This window comes from Homo sapiens, chromosome 22, assembly GCF_000001405.40.
Source record: "Homo sapiens chromosome 22, GRCh38.p14 Primary Assembly".
NCBI lineage: Eukaryota > Metazoa > Chordata > Mammalia > Primates > Hominidae > Homo > Homo sapiens.
The window spans coordinates 36,507,488-36,529,979 of record NC_000022.11 but is presented as its reverse complement, the minus strand read 5'-3'; the positions used below and the strand labels follow the sequence as shown (position 1 = coordinate 36,529,979).

Genomic DNA, 22,492 nt, shown 5'->3' with positions numbered 1-22,492 from the left:
GAGCAACATAGCAAAACCCCATCTCTACCAAAAATACAAAAATTAGGCAGGCGTGGTTGTGCGTGCCTGTGTACACCAACGACTCGGGAGGCTGAACTGGGAGGATCGCTTGTACCTGAGAAGTCGAGGGTGCAATAAGCCGTGATCCTGCCACTACATTTCAGCCTGGGCGACAGAGCGAAACCCTGTCTCAAAAAATAAATAAAAATAAATAAAAACACTGTTCCAGAAATCCCTGTCCTACAATTAAGTTTGAGAACTGCGGAAGTATGGTTTGAACTCTGGCGGTTAGAACCCTAAACTAACAGTCTGATCTAGGCAGGTCACTTGGCACTTCTGAGCCTCAGTTTCCACAACTATAAAGGCGGAGGAGTAACAATAAGGACCGCCTAAGACACCGACGGACCTCCCCTGCGCTGAGTTTCACATTAAGCAGGCAGGTAGAACAGGCGGGGAGTCGCGGGTGACGGTGGGATACATGGGGGCTGAGGCGCGCCGCGAAGCATTGTGGGACACAGAAGGGCGCCAGTCGCTCCCCGCCTCGAGCTTCGATTGCGCGGCCGCCAAGTTTCAGTGATGAACGCCCTCTTTGGGCGTCCCCGGATACCGCCTGACGTAGTGCCAATCACACCTCTCGCGTCTCGGCGCCTCGGAGGCTAATGAGGACGCCTGGCGAAACGCAGTAACGGATTTCCGGGTGGACCTTCGCTTTACGGCTCGTGAGTTCTTCCGCCCAACCCAGAGGAAGCGGGAGAGCAGTTTACGACAGCGCCGGTCGTGTTTACGGCGGCGCCCGCTGCGCGCGCATGTTTCCTCTTTTCCTGGTTTCTCAAGAGTGCTGCTGCTAACGCGGTCCCCGGCACGCACCATCTGTTGCCATCCCGGCCGGCCGAGGCCATTGCAGGTGAGCGGCGTGTTTCATAGGTTCCTGCGGCCCTCCGGAGCCGGTTCGGACTAGGTCCAGCCTTCGGGGGGCCTCCCGGAAGAGACCTCTCTTAGTCCCTTCCTGCTGTTGCCGTCCCTCCGCTGGGCGGGGCAGGAATCCACTTTCGGGGGCCCCGCGTCCCGCACGCTACTGAACGCGGGACACGACCTTGTGGGTGAGGTCCTTGGCCCTCGGCCCTGCTCAGTGCCCATGAGCTGGGTGAATTTGATTGTCACTTAACTCACCTGGGTTAAGACGGAGGGGTAACAACAAAGTCTTTCTGAAGTGGCCGAAAACTCCCTGACTTTTTGAGTGAGGTCTTAGGGGTACCAGGCTGAGCGGTGTTTGGCCCCTGTTCTTAGGAATTCACAGTGCATAGGTTATCTTTCCTTTTTTGTGAAACTGGAGGCTAGGATAGAGAAGTAGATTTGATCTCTGATCTTAAATCTACCCCACCCCCTGTTCAGCGATGGACGGCTTATGATCTGTAGTGGCCTGCCAACCACAGAGCCCCTTCTGAGTGCCCTCTTGGAACCTCCCTATCCTGCCCCTGTGACTAGTACAGCTGTTACTTCGTTTTTGCTGAGCGGCTCAGTTTCTCCTCCTGGTTCCGCTCTGCTCTTAAAAAAAAAAACATTTATTAAAGCCAGGGTATCTCATCCCTGGCTTTCCAGGGAGGTGATGCAGGTCGAGCCTCGGGCCTCTTCCCTTCTTGAGCTTCTGACAGAACCCGATTTTTTAAAGTGTGTTTTGAGACTCGTTGTCTTGGTATTATGATGTACGGTCTCAAACCCCTGATCTTTGCGGGCTGCTGCCCAGCTGTAATATAATGGAAAGAAGGCTGGACTGACAGCAGGCAACCCTGGAAATCAAATCTGTTTTGAAATGATGAGGTCAGCTGCTTGAGTAGGCTGAGCTTCAAATTTTTGCCTCTAAAGTAGGGGTGGGGGGGTGGTCAATGGTGTTAAATTATCTGGTATAGGGCCTAACACGTAGGAGCTCAGCAATATTTATTTAATACAAATTGTTCTGAGACCACCACCCTTTTTCTTCTGTCCTCTTCCTATAGTTTCTATTAGAAAGATGAAACTTCTAGGTTCATCCTGTGTTGCTGTCACCCAAATGTCATCTCTGAAGGAAGCCTCAATCTCCCCAGCATGGGGCTTTGAGGAGAGTTTACTAAGTTCAGCATACCTGTTCTTTTGATTGCTCTCCAGCCTCCAAGAAACATTTGATTTTTGTTTTTTTGAGACGGAGTCTTGCTCTGTTGCCCAGGCTGGAGTGTAATGGCAGGATCTTGGCTCACTGCAACCTCCGCCTCCTGAGTAGCTGGTATTACAGGTGCCCGCCACCACGCCCAGCTAATTTTTGTATTTTTAGTAGAGACTGGGTTTCACCATGTTGACCAGGCTGGTCTCGAACTGCTGACCTCGTGATCCGCCCACCTCGGCCTCTCAAAGTGCTGGGATTACAGGCGTGAGCCACCGCGCCCGGCCTCCAAGAAATACTTGTGTAGTGAATTTTCCTCTAGGAACTCGCCTTCTAAGCATTTTCAGAAGGTTACAACGGAAGATAAATGCATAGGTTTTTTTATAGAAGTGTCGGGCAGCCATCTGCTATACAGCGCCGGTTTTTTAATTCCCAAGAGGGCTATAGCATTATGCAGAGTGCAGACTCTGGGGTCAGACTGCTTTGGTTCACGTTTTTCATCCACTAGCATTTCAACTTTGGGCAATTTCTTCATTTCTCTGTGCTTTGGTTTTCTTATCTGGAGAGTGCGGATAACATTGGCTCCTACCTCACAGGATTGTTGGCAGGACTGTATGAATGAATGAGTGGTAAACAGTAAGAACAGTGCCTGGCAGTATTCATGAACATTTAACATGGCAACTTTGGGCCTGAGGTCTGTGGGGACCTCCTTGGCCCTCTGGCAGTTCTTCTGCCTGGCTTTATGTCCGCTTGCACTGCACACAGGATTTGCGTTGATGGCAGAAAATTGAAACAATGAGAAAGGAAAATTGAATTTCAGGATATACTTAAAGATCTTTTTTTCTCAGCACTCTATATACATAAATGCACTTTTGCAAGTCTGAATACTTGTGTGGCATTATACAAAGTGCTTAGAACAAGGATCTTGTTTATTTTGCAGATGGAAAAGACTAAGGTGGCTGGACGTGGTGGCTCACGCCTGTAATCCCAGCACTTTGGGAGGTCGAGGCGGGAGGATCATTTGAGGTCAGGAGTTCAAGACTAGCCTGGACAACATGGTGAAACCCTGTCTCCACTAAAAACACAGAAAATAGCCAGGCGGCGCTTGCCTGTAATCCCAGCTACTCAGGAGGCTGAGGCAGGAGAATCGCTTGAACTCGGAAGGCGGAAGTTGCACGCCACTGCACCCCAGCATGGGTGACAAAGTGAGACTCTGTCTCAAAAAAAAAAAAGAAAGAAAGAAAAGACTACTAAGTCTTAGGGAAGTTGAGTTTGTATGAATTGGTGAAGGTATATCTCAGAACCAAAACAAGGTTACTATATTTGAAAAAACATTAGGACATTTTATCAAATCTGACACCATTAAATTTTTTTAAACACTTATGTAACACAGAAAAAGAAAAACTACCAATCAATACAACACCCTGTCAAACACAAGGTGCAGCCTCATTTTAAAGATGTTACAGTAAAAAGAGAGTGTCGTGGAATTAATGAAATATGAAAAATCAGTTTTGTTTGCATTCTTCTCAGTTTTAAGTACATATTCACAGTATAATTAACAAAAACAGTAGTAGTCGCTCAACAGTTGAGGGTTCCATTTTGCGTGTTGCTTTTTGAGTTCTATCATTTATGTCTTTGCTTACTTCATATGGAGGGTGTTTTGTACTCTGAGGCCTTCGTTCATGCCGCTACTCACATGATTTATATTTTTCAGATTTTGGAAGATGGCAAAGTTCATGACACCCGTGATCCAGGACAACCCCTCAGGCTGGGGTCCCTGTGCGGTTCCCGAGCAGTTTCGGGATATGCCCTACCAGCCGTTCAGCAAAGGAGATCGGCTAGGAAAGGTACATGCCTGTCAGCAGGAGTCTGAATCTTTGCAGCTGTGGCTGCTACTCTCGAGTCCCTGTTTAGATTTTATTGTCTCAAAATCTTAACTCCTGAATTTCTTATAGGGATGCCAGCTGAGAAAGGTTATCTCTGGGTGTAGTCATAGAAGAGCTGGGCACTTACAGAGGTGTTGTGAACAAATTCTGAGACTCTTCCACGCTGTCCTCTCGCGCTCAGGGATTTCTGGTTCTGCAGAAACTTGCCTGGTTGACCTGTGCATTCTCTGTCTTTTCTTGTTCTTCGTAGGTTGCAGACTGGACAGGAGCCACATACCAAGATAAGAGGTACACAAGTAAGTGTTTCTGCAACTGAATGCCCCAATCAGGGCCTTGGGAAAGTTGTTCTTTATTCTAATGACCTTCTTCTGAAAGCTTTTTAGAATGGGAAGAAACTGCCAACAATAATTCATAACTTTTAGGGATGTATTCTGGGCTTTAACAATAACCACATTTTTGGAAATAGCCCTCAAAACTTAGACCATTCATTAAAGAGGTCTAGCCTATTAAAATGGGGTTTTGGGCCCTTTTAAAAACCTGTTGAAAACATTAGCTGGGCGTGGTGGCGTGCACCTGTAATCCCAGCTACTCGGGTGGCTGAGGCAGGACAATCACTTGAACCCAGAAGTTAGAGGTTGCAGTGAGCAGAGATCATGCTATTGTACTCCAGCCTGGTGACAGAGCCAGATCCTGTCTCCAAAAAAAAAAAAAAAAAAAAAAGTAAAACCCCTGGTTTTAAGATCCTGGTACCATAAAAAGGCTTTTTCTCTCTGCCACTTCAGATAGTTGGAGGTGGCTGCCTGGAGAACTAAGTTAGGATAGCTGAGGCTGAGATTGGCAAGAAAGTATATCGTGATCTATTAGACATACCTGCCATGGGCCCCTGATAATGGAGATGGTGGTTAGCAATAAATACCTCAGATTCTCACACAATAACGCAGAGAGTGAAATGGGTTAGTTTGAGTCCTTCAGATTCTTGGCTTAGAAAGTTCTTTAGGCCAGAGTTGTTCAAAATTGAATGTGCATATGAATCATCCGGGGATCTTGTTAAAATGCTGGTTCTGATTCAGTGGGTATGGGGTGGGACTGTGAGTCTGTGTGTCTAACAAGCTTTCAGCCAATGCTACAGGTCTCAAGACCACACTTGAAATAGCAAGGCTTTAGACTGGTGCATATCTGGTAAAGTCTGTGGGTGCAGTTACTACATGCCATCACCTTTGCCTCCAGATAAGTACTCCTCTCAGTTTGGTGGTGGAAGTCAATATGCTTATTTCCATGAGGAGGATGAAAGTAGCTTCCAGCTGGTGGATACAGCGCGCACACAGAAGACGGCCTACCAGCGGAATCGAATGAGATTTGCCCAGGTAGGCCAAGAGCCAGCAACCACACCATCTTGGGGCTGTTACTGTTGGCCATCACCTGCTAAAAAATGCTACCTTGTGACTCCTAATGAGAGAGGGAAGCATATTATAGGTCTTTTCGTGAATCTCGGGTCACCGTTCCATAACAAGTGGTACCAAGGTGAACTTGCACTAGGATCAGGGATGCATTTAAATAGTTTATATTTCTGTTTGCCAGTAGCTAGGACATCAGACTTGTATGCTAAAAACATTTGTGCTGGATAAGAAGGTGCACCTGTGCCTGTTACCACACTTAATTGCTGTGTGCAGACTTTATTAAGTAGATGGTCCAGTCAGATTGCCTATTATTATTTAAAGAGGCAAACTCAGAAAATCTAATGAGACCCAGTAAACATACTTCAATGAAAAATATATCATGGGAGTATAGGTCTAAGCAAAGTCCAAGCACTTACCCCCTAACACCCCCAAGCTGTTGATGCCGTAGAGTGAAAGCACAGAGTAAGATGTGAAACTTGGGATTTGGCATCCTAAATTTACTCCAAAGACCTCCCACTTGTTCTGCCTATTGTGAGCCAAATCTCCAAGATTTTAACATGGATGTTTCTTGCTGATGCCCAGAGGAACCTCCGCAGAGACAAAGATCGTCGGAACATGTTGCAGTTCAACCTGCAGATCCTGCCTAAGAGTGCCAAACAGAAAGAGAGGTGAGATTTTCATCCTGCTGGAACAAGACACCCTTCCCAGACTGGCCGTATTTGGAAACCACAGGACCAAAGCAGGAGGATGGTTGTATTCCCCACCACTGCAAAAAAGGAAAATACTTTCTACAACCAGTTAAGCCCCCTTTTAGCTTGTCGTTCTCAGGCTGGTTCATGGCAGATAGCATGGGCAGGAAACTAACTCCTTGTGCTGGTCATGCGCACTAAAGGGAAACACAGGCAGGCAAGAAGAGGCTCTGGAGCTTACCTGGGCTCAGTTCTGCTGTGGGTCAACTCTAGGAAGCCCCCTGTATGCTGGTCCTTTGAGCCTCCTGGTGTTGTGTGGTCCAGCGGCCACTACACCCCAGATTGGAACTATCAGTGAACAGTCACTATAGATGAAGTAAAATCATCTGGTCAGTATTTGGAGGCAGTGTACCTTTTCTAACACCTCCAGTATGCACCGTCTGGGTCTCTTCCTTTCTCTAAGCCCATTTTTCGTAGTTTAAAGGAGTTAGTGGTGATGGTAAGGTTTAGCTGAAGAGAATGGCAGCGTGTGCCTTTTGAAGAAGCCACTGGTTTAAAGGTCTGCACTGAGATCATATGTCTGTCTTTCCAGAGAACGCATTCGACTGCAGAAAAAGTTCCAGAAACAATTTGGGGTTAGGCAGAAATGGGATCAGAAATCACAGGTAATGTATTTATACCAGAATTCTGCCTTGGAATTTGGTTCTGTTTATTTGGTTGTCTTTATTAATAGCTTAGATGAGATATACTTCACATACCGTACAATTTAGTGGTTTTTAATATATTTGAAGAGTTCTGTAACTGGTCAATTTCAGACCATTTTCATCACCCTCAAAAGAATCCCTTACCCTTTAGCAGTCACCCTGTCTTGATCTGTTTTCCGTTGCTAGAACAGAATACCTGAGAGTGGGTAAGTTATAAAGCGGTTTCTTTAGCTCATGGTTCTGGGGACTGGGAAGTCCCAGATCAGGAGCCACATCTGGTGAGGGCCTCATGCTGCTTGATAGCATGGCAGAAAAAGCAGAAGCGGGAGCAGGGTGCAACAGAGAAAAGGGCTAAACTTTGGGTAGTTAGCCCATTCCTGAGAGAAGGGCATGAGGCATTTATTCCTTTTAACGACCTAATCTCTTAAAGGCCCTACCTCCCGACACTGCCGCAGTAGCAACCAGATTGCCAAATGAATTCCAGGAGGCACACCCAAACACCAGCACCCCCAGTAGCCCAGCAGTAGGCAGCTATGAATCTGTTTTCTGTCTCGGGATTTTTTGTTCTAGACATTTTACATAAATGGAATCATACAATATGTGGTCTTTAGTAACTGGCAGCTTTTATTTAGCGTGTTTTCAAGAGTCATCCATGTGGTAGCATGTGTCGGTACAGTTTTCCTTCAGTATATGAAAGTCTACACATTCTCAAGTCCCACATTCGGCCTGTGGTAGCCACATATATGAAAAGTCGGCCCTCCATATACTCGGGGTTTGCATCCCAAGAATACTGTTTTCTTTTTCTTTTCTTTTTTGAGACAGAGTCTTGCTCTGTCACCCAGGCTGGAGTGCAGTGGCATGAATCTTAGCCAACTGCAACCTCTGCCTGCTGGGTTCAAGTGATCCTCCTACCTCAGCCTTCTGAGTAGCTGAGACTATAGGCATGCACCACCACGCCTGGCTAATTTTTGTATTTTCTGTAGATAGGGGGTTCTGCCATGTTCCCCAGGCTGGTCTCAAACTCCTGAGCTCAAGCAGTCCACCCACCTCAGCCTCCCAAAGTGCTGGGGTTACAGCCATGAGCCACTGCGCCTGGCTTGTATTTTCAATCCATGTTTGTTTGAAGAAAATCTGCATATTAAGTAGACCCATGTACTTCAAACCCATGTTGTTCAAGTTCAGCTGTGCTTCATCTGTTGTTGGTTTTTTTGGTTTTTGTTTTTTGTTTTTTTAAGATGGAATCTCACTCTGTCACCCAAGCTGCAGTGCCAGTGGCGCGATCTTGGCTCACTGCAACCTCCGCCTCCCGGGTTAAAGTGATTCTCACACCTCAGCCTCCCAGGTAGCTAGGATTACAGGCACGTGCCAACATGTCTGGCTTTTTTTTTTTTTTTTTCATATGTTTTGTAGAGACAGGGTTTTACCATGTTGGCCCGGCTGGTTTCAAACTCCTGACCTCAGATGATCCACCCACCTCAGCCTCCCAAAGTGCTGGGATTACAGGCGTGAGGCACCACACCCAGCCCAGATGAGCTTCTTTTCTTGTTTATTGCCAAATAAGAGTCCTTTGAATTATACATCATGTTGTTTTGAGCCATTCACATGCTGATGAACATTTGAGTTGTTTTTCACTTTTTGACTATTATTGATGCTGCTGTGAACGTTCACCTGCGTGTGCTTGTGTGGGCATTCTGAGAACAGAACACATGTAAGCAAAAGTGAAGCTACATTTTGTTGGATATGATGCTGTATCAAGAATAGTTAATAACCCGAGAGAAATATAAAGGACCTTCTACATGTTCATCAGGTGACATCATTACCTGGGAGTGGAACCCCATTTGCTTTTGAACTTTTGATCCCTTTGGTCCTCTTCCACACCATAAATTCCTGGGAGTCAGGGATTCTGTCTTATAAAACAGTCAGCACTCCATTTATTGAATAAAAGCTCTTTTTCTTTTCTCTCTTTTATTGAGACGCAGTCTTGCTCTGTCACCCAGGCTGGAGTGCAGTGGTGCTATCTCAGCTCACTGCAACCTCCGCCTCCCAGATTCAAGCTGTTCTCCTGCCTCAGCCTCCCGAGTAGCTGGGATTACAGGCATGCATCACCATGCCTGGCTAATTTTTGTATTTTTAGTAGAGATGGGGTTTCACCATGTTGGACAGGCTGGTCTCGAACTCCTGACCTCAGGTGATCTGCCCGCCTTGGCCTCCCAAAGGGCCACTGAGCCCCTCCGTTTTATGTGGTTGTTGTTTGAGACAGGATCTCGTGTCACTCAGGCTGGAGTGCAGTAGTGCAATCATAGCTCACTGCAGCCTCAAACTCCTGGGCTCAAGCAATCATCCTGCCCCAGCTTCCCAAAGTGCTGGGACTACAGGCATGAGCCACTGCACCAGGCCAGCTCTTCATATTTTTAGCCTGTCTTTTATTTATGTTTTGTATGGACTATAACTTTTTTTTCCTCTAATGGTTTTCAACTGCAGAAACCCCGAGACTCTTCAGTTGAAGTTCGTAGTGATTGGGAAGTGAAAGAGGAAATGGATTTTCCTCAGTTGATGAAGATGCGCTACTTGGAAGTATCAGAGCCACAGGACATGTAAGCAGCATCTTTTACTACTTTCTACACTGCTCTTATGTGTGTGGACCAGCTGGTGATGGGTATTTTCTTAAGCCCTAGTATTTCCAAAAAGGCTTTGAAGCCACTTACTCAAAACACATTTCATAAGGTTAACAGAGGTATTTGAAAAAAATCAAGACCGGCCAGGTGCAGTGGGTCACCTGAGGTCAGGAGTTCAAGACCAGCCTGGCCAACATGGTGAAACCCAGTCTCTACTAAAAATACAAAAACTTAGCCGGGTGTGGTGGCACACACCTGTAATCCCAGCTACTCAGGAGGCTGAGGCACGAGAATCACTTAAACCCTGGAGGTGGAGGTTGCAGTGAGCTGAGATCTTGCCATTGCACTCCAGCCTGGGCAACAAGAGCGAAACTCCATCTCAAAAAAAAAAAAATCAAGACCAAGGGGAAAAGCAGAAGTTCACTGACTGCAAACTTCTTTTTAACTTCCTGGTATCCTGAGGAAAGAAGAAATGAGTTATACAACTCTTTTGGCAGAAAGAGAAAGCAGAATGGAATTTGCTGATTATTAAACTGTATATTTCTGTTTCCTGGCATCCTGAGCAAAAGAGCAATAAGATTAAGTTATAAAACTCTTGTCAGGAAAAGAAACACAGCAATTCTTCAGGAGGAATCTTTGCTTCTCCTGACATTTCAAATAGCTTCTTACCTCAAAGGACAAGTAGGTGGAATTTAGGTAGTGGGAAACCAGAGCACCAGACGAGAAGTCAGCCTACCCAGGTGCTTCTATAACTAGTCATCTCCTGTCTTAGCCTCGGTCACCCTACCTTTAAAATGGGGGCGTTGGGCTAGATGAGTTGTGCTTGCTGTGTTCTATGCCAGGTGTTAAGTGGACAGGAACTGAGCAAGCACTGAGGATTCGTCTCTCCTGCTCTGGCCAGAGATTGCTTTCCACCTCTTTTAGACTTTTGGATAAGACTTCTGGATGTATGGCTTAAAAGAAAAAACTGGGGGTTATCTCTCTTACTTTGCATGTCTTTGCCTGCTCTTCCCACAGTGAGTGTTGTGGGGCCCTAGAATACTACGACAAAGCCTTTGACCGCATCACCACGAGGAGTGAGAAGCCACTGCGGAGCATCAAGCGCATCTTCCACACTGTCACCACCACAGACGACCCTGTCATCCGCAAGGTGTGCGCCTCCTTCTGCCCCTCTCCCCCTTGTTAGGAATGCTGTCGGCTTCTACAGCTGAAGCTGCAGAAAGAACAGAAGACATGGGAATAACGTATGTATTATAGGTAAAAGCACTTTGCCAGGTAGACCGGAAATGTGGATGTTAAGCACAGCTGGACTTGAAGCCCAGTTCTGCCGCGCTTCCTGGCTTAGTCTCTGGAGCCTTAGTTCTCTCATCTGCAACAAGGGGTAGATGTACATAGCACTACCACTGGGGCAAAGGTGAAAGCATCTGAAGCACTTGGCTGGAATCTAGCAGGTGCTTAGGGTGCTGCAGTGCCACTGCCACCCGAAACTTGCTGGCTCACTGGCTGCAGTGTTTTTGGTCAATGAGGTGGGGCCTCCTTATTAAGGATTTATGTGGTCAGCAAAGGAGTTCTTTCCCATCCATGTGAGTGGGCAGTGAGACCTGGGAGTGTCTTTCCATCTTCTCTCTTTGATCCTCTTTGCAGCTGGCAAAAACTCAGGGGAATGTGTTTGCCACTGATGCCATCCTGGCCACGCTGATGAGCTGTACCCGCTCAGTGTATTCCTGGGATATTGTCGTCCAGAGAGTTGGGTCCAAACTCTTCTTTGACAAGAGAGACAACTCTGACTTTGGTAAGAAGCGTGCCTGGGGAGCAACTCAAAGGCATTGAGTATTTTTGTTGGTACAGAACAAGTCTCTGGTACTAGAGAATGGATAGAAAGTGGTCTGTCTTCCCAAGGGAATTGACAGCAGCAGTGTCTGAATCTCCCACACTCTTTAGAGGTTAGGAGAAGAGACTGTCACTGCAGTACCTGCTTGAGGCCTCAGCTTTTGGAGTCCTCACAGCACCCTAATAGCAAGCTTCCAAATGTTGCTTTTTTGTTGTTTTTTTTTTTTTTTAATTGAGACAGAGAGTCTCACTCTGTCACCCAGGCTGGAGTGCAGTGGCGCAGTCTTGGCTCACTGCAGCGTCTGCCTCCCACATTCAAGTGATTCTTCTGCCTCAGCCTCCCGAATAGCTGGGATTACAGGCATGTGCCATTACGCCTGGCTACTTTCTATATTTTTAGTAGAGACGGTTTCACCATGTTGGCGAGGCTGGTCTCGAACTCCTGGCCTCAAGTGATCCATCAGCCTTGGCCTCCCAAAGTGCTGCGATTAGAGGTGTGAGCCAACACACCTGGCCCAAATGTTATTCATTTAAATACCCCTTTTTCGACTTTTGCCATCTTGCATACCTTGTTCAGTGTTTGCTTACTGTATATACATATATATTTTTTATACCATACATATATGTATTTATACACCATAAAGGAAAACCATGTCACTCAAAAATTAACAAAACAGGCTGGACACGGTGGCTCACAACCTGTAATCCTGCCACTTTGGGAGGCCGAGGCGGAGAATCACTTGACATCAGGAGATCGAGACCAAGCCTGGCCAACATGGTGAAACCCAGTCTCTACTAAAAATACAAAAATTAGCCAGGTGTGGTGGTGGACACATGTAATCCCAGCTACTTAGGAGGCTGAGGCAGGAGAATCGCTTGAACCCAGGAGGCAGAGGTTGCAGTGAGCCGTGGACACACCACTGCACTCCAACCTGGGTGACAGAGCAAGACTCCATCTCAAAAAAAAAAGTGTTTATATTCTGAGCCTGAAGCCTGAGGTCTTTATTAAAAAGCTTGCAAAATCATTCTCTTGAGGAATCCAAAACGACTGAAAAGGGACAGCTTCGTTACTGTGTGATTGAATTGAATGTTGGACAGTATCTTGAGTTATCCTGGAGCAGCTGCCCCACTCCCCCGCTTATGTGTTCCACACCAGGGAGACCCACTTTAGGAGAGGGCAGTTCTTTGAAGGAAGGACTTGTGTTGTTTGCCTCTCCACATCTCCCCACAGCGCTGCGCACATTGTCAGTGACTCTTTGTTGCATGGTGAGTGACCATGCCACGCTTTTGCAGACCTCCTGACAGTGAGTGAGACTGCCAATGAGCCCCCTCAAGATGAAGGTAATTCCTTCAATTCACCCCGCAACCTGGCCATGGAGGCAACCTACATCAACCACAATTTCTCCCAGCAGTGCTTGAGAATGGTGAGGAAACGAGTCTCTGGGCATTGATTCATTCTTATTTAATCAGCTGCTGTTTGTGGAGCATCTGCTTTGTGCTAGGCTCTTGGTTGTGGGACTGAGCAGGTCAGACGCAGTCCCCACCTTTAGCAGGGGAGTTACATGCCTGGGCTTGGATGTTAGGCTCTCTGACTTTGAACAAAGTTCCTGCCCTTACAGAATTTAATGATAGTGGAGGAGGAAACACAGTGAACAATAAATAATAAATTGATTTACATCAAATGGTGAATATATGCCATGGCAAAAAAATGAAGTAGAGATGAGCATGGTTACTAAGTCATTGTTCTAATTCATCAGGTGCTAACAGTTGGGAGGGGTCAAGTAGGCACAAAACAGGCAGCGAGCTCAGAGCCCCATCAAGGGCCCCAGGAACCTGGCCAGGGCTGCAACTAAGCAGAGGTGCTGGGTCTGACTGATTGGCCTTGGCCTTGTCAACAAAGTTAGCTCTGTCTTGTGACACCTTTGTTTTTGCAGGGGAAGGAAAGATACAACTTCCCCAACCCAAACCCGTTTGTGGAGGACGACATGGATAAGAATGAAATCGCCTCTGTTGCGTACCGGTAGGTCACCTCTCTGGTGGGTATTGTGGCCAGACTGGAGCACGGGCCCCACTCTATAGAATCCCCAGTGACCACATGAGTTTCTTTTTTGCTGCAGTTACCGCAGGTGGAAGCTTGGAGATGATATTGACCTTATTGTCCGTTGTGAGCACGATGGCGTCATGACTGGAGCCAACGGGGAAGTGTCCTTCATCAACATCAAGACACTCAATGAGTGGGATTCCAGGGTGAGCCGCCATCTCCATCACCCTCCTGGTGACACCATGTCTCTATTCCCTACAGTGCCTGTTTACGCAGGCTAGGTTGTATAAACTGTTTCTTATCCCCTTTCGTTACTTATAGAGCTACCTGGATGTTTTTTTTTGTCTTGTGAGTTTTTTCCTCTGCTTAGTTCCTTGCTGAGAAAGAGCATGACTGTGTGTGTAGAACTATGTTAAGTGTTAAGAACTTTTCTGCTTATTTTTTACGCAGGAACCAGTTAACTCCCTTCTTCCAGTACTTTCTTCATCTCTGTTCCATTGTGGCCTCCTGTTGACTTCTGCTCCCTGAGCATCTGATTTTTTCCTCTCCTTATTATCTGGGTTGGCAGTTTTCCTGTAAGTCTGGCCGCTCTTCTTTTTGACCTCTTCTTTCATTGACTGAGCCACTGCCTTCAATCTTTTCACACATTTTTTGCAATTCCTCATTTCTTTAACTCATGGATTCTAAGATCTGGCTCAGAATTGACTCTTCAGAGGCACCTTGAAAGAAACATGCTTCCTTCACTTTTCCTCCTCTATTTCCACCCCACCCCTCCCAATCCGCCCCCCCGCCCACATCACCTGTTGAAAGAGCACACTGGAAGGTTTGCCGCTCTGGGGCCAGCGGCCTTTTCTTGGATTTTTCCTGGTGAGCTCCCCAAAGCATTCAGGGCCGTCGTGCCTGTGTCGTTTTGCCGTCTGTGTTACCGCGTTACTCTGGTCTCACCCGTTTCCCTGTTCCGTTTGCATGTCGTCTTTGCTGGCTCCCCTCCTTTTTGATCCCAGTGGAGTCACCTGGACAGCTCTCTTCGCCATACATACTTCTGTATTATATAACTTTGTATTAGTTTTCTTTCGCACCATAACAAATTAACAGAAACTTAATGACTTAATACCGATTTATGTATTTTACTTTTATTTTTTATTTTATTTTTCTGAAACGGAGTTTCGCTCTTGTTGCCCAGGCTGGAGTGCAACGGTGCGATCTCGGCTCACTGCAACCTCTACCTCCCGGGCTCAAGCGATTCTCCTGCCTCAGCCTCCCGAGTAGCTAGGATTATAGGCATGCACCACCACACCCAGCTAATTTTGTATTTTTAGTAGAGATGGGGTTTCTCCATGTTGGTCAGACTGGTCTTGAAGTCCCGGCCTCAGGTGATCTGCCTGCCTCGGCCTCCCAAAGTGCTGGGATTACAGGCGTGAGCCACAGCACCCGGCCTAACAATACCAATTTATTAGCTCACGGTTTTGTAGGTTAGAAGTCCAGTGCTGTGTGCTTGGTCCTTGTATTAGTCCATTGTCACACTGCTGTAAAGAAATGCCTGAGAGTGGGTGATTTATAAAGAAAAGAGGTTTAATTGGCTCACAGTTCTGCAGGCTCTAGAGGAAGCGTGGCTGAGGAGACCTCAGGAAACTTGCAATGGTGGCAGAAAGCAAAGGAGAAGCAGGCACATCATGGCCAGAGCAGGAGAAAGAGAGGGGGGAGGTTGGTATACACTTTTAAACAACCAGATCTCTTGAATACTCTTACCACAAGAATAGTGCCAAAGGGGGAAGTCTGCCCCCATGATCCAGTCACCTCCCACCATGCTCCTCCTCCAACATTGGAGTTTACAATTTGACATGCAGTTTGGGTGGGGCCACAAATCCAAACAAGGCAGAAATCATGGTGTCAATAGAAATAGAACTGAGTTCTCATCTGGAGGTTCTGAAAGAAAAGCCACTTCCAAGCCCATTCTTATTGTGGGTAAAGTTCATTTCCCTGCAGTTAGATGACTGAGGCCCCCATCCCCCTGCCAGTTGTCAGCTGGGAGCCTCTCTTGGCTCCTAGAGGCCACCTGCATTCCTTGTCACATGGCCCCCTCCATCTCCAAGATAGCAACAGCACATCAGATCCTTCTTGTGCTTCAGATCTCTGACTTCCTCCGTCTCCGACCTCTACACCTAGATTTAAGAGACTCATACGGTTGGGTGAGCCCAGCCAGGTAGTGTATATTAAGGTAAACTGATTTGCGGCCTTACATCTGCAAAATCCCTTTTGACATACAAGGTAGGATGATCATGGGGGTGATACTTGATCCTAGCCATAGGTTCTGCCCGTAGTCAAGGGGAGGAGACTCTGCAAGGGCAAGGGTCACTGGGGGTCATCTTAGAATTCTGCCCATCCCAGGCCTCAACCATGAACTCTTTGAAAATGATTTCTCAAATCTACTCTGATTTATTATACTTCCCATTGTTTTTCTGCTAAAACACCTTCCCCTTCCATGTGTCCCCAGTCCCGTCATTGCCTCTGGGCCAGCTGTCCATCAGCATTGTCTTTCTTCCACCTAAGCTCTGAGCCTCCAACATCTCCAACTTCTTTTTTACATTATTCTGTTTTGCTGTTAGCAAAATAGAAGGCTTTGCTGTCTTCTGAATCTGTCCTGGATTTCACTGATAATTGCCCTAGTTCAGGGCCCCATTTCATCATGCCTGTTTGACATTTGTCTCCTAACTGATTTCTCTACCTCCACCCAACTTCTATATTTGATTTATCTCCGCCAGTCAATTGTCCAATACACGCTTCATCAGCAGTGCAGATTGGGAGAAGAATTCTAACATGCCCCAGCAAGCTGTATGCAGTAGTATGCACCTATAGTCCTAGCTACTCAGGAGCCTGAGGTGGGAGAATCGCTTGGGTTCATGAGTTCAAATCCTGAACTCACCAGCTTGGGCAACATAGTGAGACCCCATCTCCAAAAAATGTGCCACAGCAAACTCACAGGAGTGCTGCAGGATATTTTAAATTTTTTAGGGAAACACAGAGACATCTTGTCAGAATACTAATACATGGTTTGACCCTAACTAAATAAAAGGAATTCTTGGCCGGGCACGGTGGCTCACGCCTGTAATCCCAGCACTTTGGGAGGCCGGGGCGAGTGGATCACCTGAGGTCAGGAGTTCGAGACCAGCCTGGCCAACATGATGAAACCCCGTATCTACCAAAAATACAAAAATTGGCTGGACATGGTGGCGGGCACCTGTAATCCCAACTACTAGGGAGGCTGAGGTAGGAGAATCACTTGAACCCGGGAGGCGGAGGTTGCAGTGAGCCAAGATCGTGCCACTGCACTCCACCCTGGGCAACAAGAGCAAAACTCCGTCTCAAAAAAAAAAAGAAAAAAAATTTAAAAGAAATTCTTGAGTATTTCTTTTGCCCTGTGTTTGCCATGAACCAAGAAAGTTTGGGAACCTCTGTCATGTGACCTTTGACCAGTCATTTCACTCTGGGTCCAACTTCCCACGTCTACAAATGATATGGGTAGAAAAGAGGATCTCTCTGGGGTCCTTTTCTACTGTGTGTGCATTTATGTAAAATGTCAGACTCAGCTTTGCACCCACTGCAGGCTTCCACCCCCATCTAAGGCCAACTCTGCCTGTCTTTCCTATCCCACCATGCCTCTCAGATCAAGACCTCCTGGCTACACCTGCACTTGAGCCAATATTCTCCACTTGGCTCACTGTTACACGTCCTCTGTGAAGCCCTTCCTTACCACGCAACACATAGTAAACACTTGGCTCTGCTGTTTATATGACACTTCTAAAGTGTGTGTGTGTGTGTGTGTGTCCGTGTGTGTCCATCCATCATTCCCTGTCTAGGCGAGCTTTTAGAAGAGAGGAATTGTAAGTCGTTGAGTGACTGCTGTGCGGCAGGCTGTGCAAGGGAAGGGACTATGTCTTTGTCTCTTAAATGGTAAGATTTAGTGCGTACCTACCCACTTTCTAAGCAAGCAGACTAGGGAGTTCCTTCTCTGCCAGAGGAGGTCCCAGCACCTTGGGCATTTGGAGCTTGCTTCTGTTTCTCTAACGGGGCTCTCCTGCAGCACTGTAATGGCGTTGACTGGCGTCAGAAGCTGGACTCTCAGCGAGGGGCTGTCATTGCCACGGAGCTGAAGAACAACAGCTACAAGTTGGCCCGGTGGACCTGCTGTGCTTTGCTGGCTGGATCTGAGTACCTCAAGCTTGGGTGAGATTCCTGTGCAGGAGCTGGCAGCTGATCTTGTGAAAGGAAGGGTCTGGGTAGGGAGGTTGACCCTCCCCTCCCCGTGTACTGGACAATTGACTGGCAGAGATAAATCCAGGGGTGGGGTAGAGATGGAGGGGTCAGTTAGGAGACAAATGCCAAACAGCAGGCATGCTGAATGGAGTCCTGAACTAGGGCAATGGTGTCAATGAAATCCAGAACTGAGAACTCAGAAGACGATGTTTTCCCTTTCCCTTGAAAATAGCAGTGGACTGCCGGGCGCGGTGGCTCATGCCTGTAATCCTAGCACTTTGGGAGGCCCAGGCTGGCAGATCACGAGGTCAGGAGATCAAGACCATCCTGGCTAACACGATGAAACCCTGTCTCAACTAAAAATACAAAAAATTAGCCGGGCGTAGTGGCGGGCGCCTGTAGCCCCAGCTACTCAGGGGGCTGAGGCAGGAGAATGGTGTGAACCCGGGAGGCGGAGCTTGCAGTGAGCCAAGATGGCGCCACTGCACTCCAGCCTGGGCAACAGAGCCAGACTCCGTCTCAAAAAAAAAAAAAAGAAAAAATAGCAGTGGACCAGGTATCACCATTTAATTGACATTTGATCCCAAGTGTTGCTGTCTCTGTGCTGCCCTGCTCTGACCACTGATATCCCTTCCCCTGTTAGTTATGTGTCTCGGTACCACGTGAAAGACTCCTCACGCCACGTCATCCTAGGCACCCAGCAGTTCAAGCCTAATGAGTTTGCCAGCCAGATCAACCTGAGCGTGGAGAATGCCTGGGGCATTTTACGCTGCGTCATTGACATCTGCATGAAGCTGGAGGAGGGCAAATACCTCATCCTCAAGGACCCCAACAAGCAGGTCATCCGTGTCTACAGCCTCCCTGATGGCACCTTCAGCTCTGATGAAGATGAGGAGGAAGAGGAGGAGGAAGAAGAGGAAGAAGAAGGTGTGTAGCAGCCCACTTTCTGAGGTCTAGAGTGATCTGTGGGCTAGCACGGGAGCAAGCTCTGTAGCCATTGTGATCTTTAACCTTGATAAAACTTCGAGAATTCCCTGAGACTTAAGTATGAAGAAGCATTCACTTTGGCTCCAAGAGCTTCTTCTAGAGCCTTTAGATCACATCAAGTGGTTGGGGAGGATAGCGGTGTTTTAGAGAAGCGGCTGGACTGTGGCAGAGGTAGAGGAAGATGAGGGAAGTCCCAGATTGAAGCCGGTGGTCTAGAGGGAAAAGCTCCGCTCCGGGTTAAATAGCCTGAAAGTTGTCTCTCCTGCTCCACCAGCTGGTGACTGAAGGAAATACCTGCCCAGCCCTGTGAGCATCTGAAAGGCTTAACTTCGGAATGGAAGTGTTGAAAACTCACGCACAGTCCAGCAGAGGTTCAGAAAGGAAAGTGAACATCATATCACACAACCTGGCTCATTTCTCTTACATTTTTTGTGTCTTTCAGAGGAAGAAACTTAAACCAGTGATGTGGAGCTGGAGTTTGTCCTTCCACCGAGACTACGAGGGCCTTTGATGCTTAGTGGAATGTGTGTCTAACTTGCTCTCTGACATTTAGCAGATGAAATAAAATATATATCTGTTTAGTCTTTCCCTCATCGTCTGCCTGCATTAACGATTTACAGTCGTTTCTTCAAAGATTCCTGACAGAGTGGGGATGAGATTCAGCAATTTCTATGTGGAATTCAGAATCTGGGTGTCCTCATTTGTTATAAGAAGTCCATTTCCACAAGCATGAGTGCCTGCTGGCTGTGTGAAGGGCCACCTGTTGCTTTTGGAGAGTTCACTGTGAGGAGCTGGAGTGCAGAGCACTAGTACAGCGTGAAGCAGGGTGTGGGTGAGGTGGGGCTGCTGCGCCTGAGGGAGGCTGCCACAGAGAGCTTGATGGATGTCCCACTGGGTGATTGTGTAATGGTTTATGAATTGTTTTTAAGCTTGGCTTGGGCTGGTGACACTCAGGCCTGTCCCTACAAAGCATTGTGTCATAAGAGCTCTGCATGTTGAGGATATGTAAACTTTTTTTTTTTTTTTTTTTTTTTTTGAGACGGAATCTCACTTTGTTGCCCAGGCTGGAGTGCAGTAGCATGATCTCGGCTCACTGCAACCTCCACCTCCCAGGTTCAAGCGATCCTCCTGCCTCAGCCCCCCAGTAGCTGGGATTACAGGCATGCACCACCATGCCTGGCTAATTTTTGTATTTTTAGTAGAGACGGGGTTTCGCCATATGGGTCAGGATGGTCTCGAACTCCTGACCTCAGGTGATCTACCCGCCTTGGCCTCCCAAAGTGCTGAGATTACAGGCGTGAGCCACCGCACCCAGCCGAGGCTATGTAAACTATGTAAGTGGACACTGTTCTGTTCTGGACACTTGATGGAGTAATTACCCTGCCAGGTATTAATGCTGAGCTTTCTGTAGTATCTAAGCCTCATACAGAACTGTGATGCTGGCAGGAGTAGTACCATTGTAGAGGTGAGGAAACAGGCATGGTGGCTCAAACCTCTAATCCCAACACTTTGAGAGGCTGAGGCAGAAGGATCACTTTAGCCTAGAAGTTTGAGACCAGCCTGGGCAACACAGGGAGACCAGGGCCTGTCTCTGCAAAAAAATAAATTATTAGCCAGTCATGATGCTTCCACCTGTGGTCCCAGCTACTCAGGAGGCTGAGGTGGGAGGATTGCTTGAGCCCAGGAGTTCAAGGCTGCAGTGAGCTATGATCACACCACTGCACTCCAGCCTAAGTGACAGAAGGAGACCCTTTATCAAAAAAAAAAAGGCCAGGTGCAGTGGCTCATGCCTGTAATCCCAGCACTTTGGGAGGCCGAGGTGGGTGGATCACTTGAGGTCAGGAGTTCAAAACCAGCCTGAGCAACATAGCAAAACCCCGTCTCTACTAAAAATACAAAACAGCCAGGCATGGTGGCACACGCCTGTAATTCCAGCTACTTGGGAGGCTGAGGCTGGAGATTCACTCGAACCCAGGAGGCGGAGGTTGCAGTGAACTGAGATCACACCACTGCACTCCAATTTGGATTACAGAGACTCTCAAAAAAAGCTCAGCATTTCTAAAGTTACAGGTTTTTTTTTTAAAGTAGCTTGAAAAAACACAAAATTAATTTTAATGAATCGAACCTCAGCAAGCAAAAGGTTTCTTGAACTGTGTTAGAAGCAGTGGAGAGAAAAAGTGTACTTGGGGAGTTTTCAATGTGAATACAGAGTGTTAAAAAACAGATTAAAGTGGTGTGACTAGTGCCGGGGGTTTCCAGGTTGGACCAGTATTCACCAAATTGCCTCTTGCAAACCATGGCCCTGTCCAACAGGATTAACAGAAGCAAGTGGAAGTGACTCAAGCTCATTCCCTGAAAATACTTTGCATCAGTTTCCACTGCCTTTTTTTTTTTTTTTTTTTTTTTTGAGACGGAGTCTTGCTCTGTTGCCCAGGCTGGAGTGCAGTGGCGCAATCTCAGGCACTGTAAGCTCCGCCTCCTGGGTTCACGCCATTCTCCTGCCTCAGCCTCCCGAGTAGCTGTCCACTGCTTTTATCTGTCCTGCATGGGGCTACCAAGTTGACTGCTGCAGTAATCCTACATTCAGAAACTCCCAGTAGCATCCTGTTGCTTACAATCTAGGTTCAGCCTACTCGTAGGGCCCTACCATACTTGACGAATTCTGTTTAATTTCCCACTACTGTATTCACCACATAAGACCAGCAATTATTTTAGGAACTTGTTTGCCAGCACCCATTCTCATAATCTTCACAACCACTAAGAAACAGACATCCCCAAATTGCATGACTATCAAAACATCTCATATGCCCCATAAATATATACACATATGCCCCCAAAAATTTTTTTGAAAAATTGGCCAGGGGCCATGGCACACACTTGTAATCCCTAGCACTTTGGGAGGCTGAAGCAGGATCGCTTGAGCCTGGAAGGTCAGGGCTGCAGTGAGCCATGATTGTGTCACTGCACTCCAGCCTGGGTGACAGTGAGACTCTGTCTCAAAAAGAAGAAATAAGACATCCCTACTTTATTTTTGGCAAAGTATTCTGCCTGACCTCTCTGGTTGCAATGCTTATTCAACAAATGCTTAAACTTCCGTATGTCAGATACTGGACAATTTCTGCTCTGAGGGAGCTTTTCTCTGATGTTGACACAGACTGAAGAAAGTAAATGACATTCGGCCAGGCGCGGTGGCTCACGCCTGTAATCCCAGCACTTTGGGAGGCCGAGGCGGGCGGATCACGAGGTCAGGAGATCGAGACCATCCTGGCTAACACAGTGAAACCCTGTCTCTACTAAAAATACAAAAAATTAGCCGGGTGTGGTGGCGGGCACCTGTAGTCCCAGCTACTAGGGAGGCTGGGGCAGAAAAATGGCGTGAACCTGGGAGGTGGAGCTTGCAGTGAGCCGAGATCACGCCACTGCACTCCAGCCTGGGCGACAGAGTGAGACTCCATCTCAAAAAAAAAAAAAAAAGAAAAAGTAAATGACATTCTTTGGTAGGTACTTGTAGGCCTGAGAGGTCAGGAAAATTTTTCTAAGGAGTCCCCAGCTACGATTTTTAATTCAAAGAATCTCCAGCCATGCAAATCTGCAGGCTCGCAGTTCTTTCCACCTGCCCTTCCCCCAAGAACACTCAGCCCCATTTCACTGGACTTTGAAGGTTCCTACACTGACTTCGTATTTCTCCCCATGTAAATCTCATGCAGGGGCCACTTGCCACCCCTGGGAAGCCAACCTTCATCATCCAGTTCACGTTATCTTCCTCCTGCCATTTATCTTGCCTCCACTGAGTTTTAATTCCAGGCTCCACTTCCTGTGATTGTAAACATATCCCTTCATCCCTATGTCTCCATTTGACCAGTCAGCTACCAAATGTCGGAAACAATGCCTTGCCCACCTCTCCTATTTGGTGGAAGATTAGGACAGTCGTGTATGTTACTTGGTAAGCAGTACA

The 22,492-nt window shown here is 47.2% G+C and overlaps 1 protein-coding gene across 3 annotated transcripts, besides 3 other annotated features; it reads left to right on the top strand.

The window, feature by feature from the left end:
• Positions 544-943: an enhancer, noted in NCBI's record as "active region_18938". NCBI's record gives its function as "activates an Ori minimal core promoter by ATAC-STARR-seq in GM12878 lymphoblastoid cells {active_cell/tissue: GM12878}" and the evidence as "EXISTENCE:reporter gene assay evidence [ECO:0000049][PMID:35858748]".
• Positions 814-19,125, top strand: EIF3D (eukaryotic translation initiation factor 3 subunit D). 3 transcript variants are annotated; one of them, NR_156418.2, is made up of 15 exons: positions 814-904; positions 3,849-3,981; positions 4,271-4,316; positions 5,248-5,384; positions 6,000-6,085; positions 6,699-6,771; positions 9,292-9,404; positions 10,443-10,575; positions 11,070-11,217; positions 12,487-12,679; positions 13,190-13,275; positions 13,373-13,502; positions 17,378-17,520; positions 18,194-18,477; positions 18,980-19,125. NR_156418.2 is itself a non-coding variant. In NM_003753.4 (15 exons), exons 2-15 carry the CDS (start codon positions 3,859-3,861, stop codon positions 18,991-18,993), a joined length of 1,647 nt encoding a protein of 548 aa, NP_003744.1. In that variant the 5' UTR covers positions 814-904; positions 3,849-3,858; the 3' UTR covers positions 18,994-19,125. The 3 variants fall into 3 exon arrangements, 2 of the variants coding, with proteins under 2 accessions (NP_003744.1, XP_047297516.1); NM_003753.4 differs by having other exon boundaries at positions 12,549-12,679; XM_047441560.1 differs by lacking the exons at positions 13,190-13,275; positions 13,373-13,502; positions 17,378-17,520; positions 18,194-18,477; positions 18,980-19,125 and having other exon boundaries at positions 12,487-12,680.
• Positions 1,254-1,303: an enhancer, noted in NCBI's record as "active region_18937". NCBI's record gives its function as "activates an Ori minimal core promoter by ATAC-STARR-seq in GM12878 lymphoblastoid cells {active_cell/tissue: GM12878}" and the evidence as "EXISTENCE:reporter gene assay evidence [ECO:0000049][PMID:35858748]".
• Positions 18,557-18,636: an enhancer, noted in NCBI's record as "active region_18936". NCBI's record gives its function as "activates an Ori minimal core promoter by ATAC-STARR-seq in GM12878 lymphoblastoid cells {active_cell/tissue: GM12878}" and the evidence as "EXISTENCE:reporter gene assay evidence [ECO:0000049][PMID:35858748]".
• Positions 19,126-22,492: the final 3,367 nt, after the last annotated feature.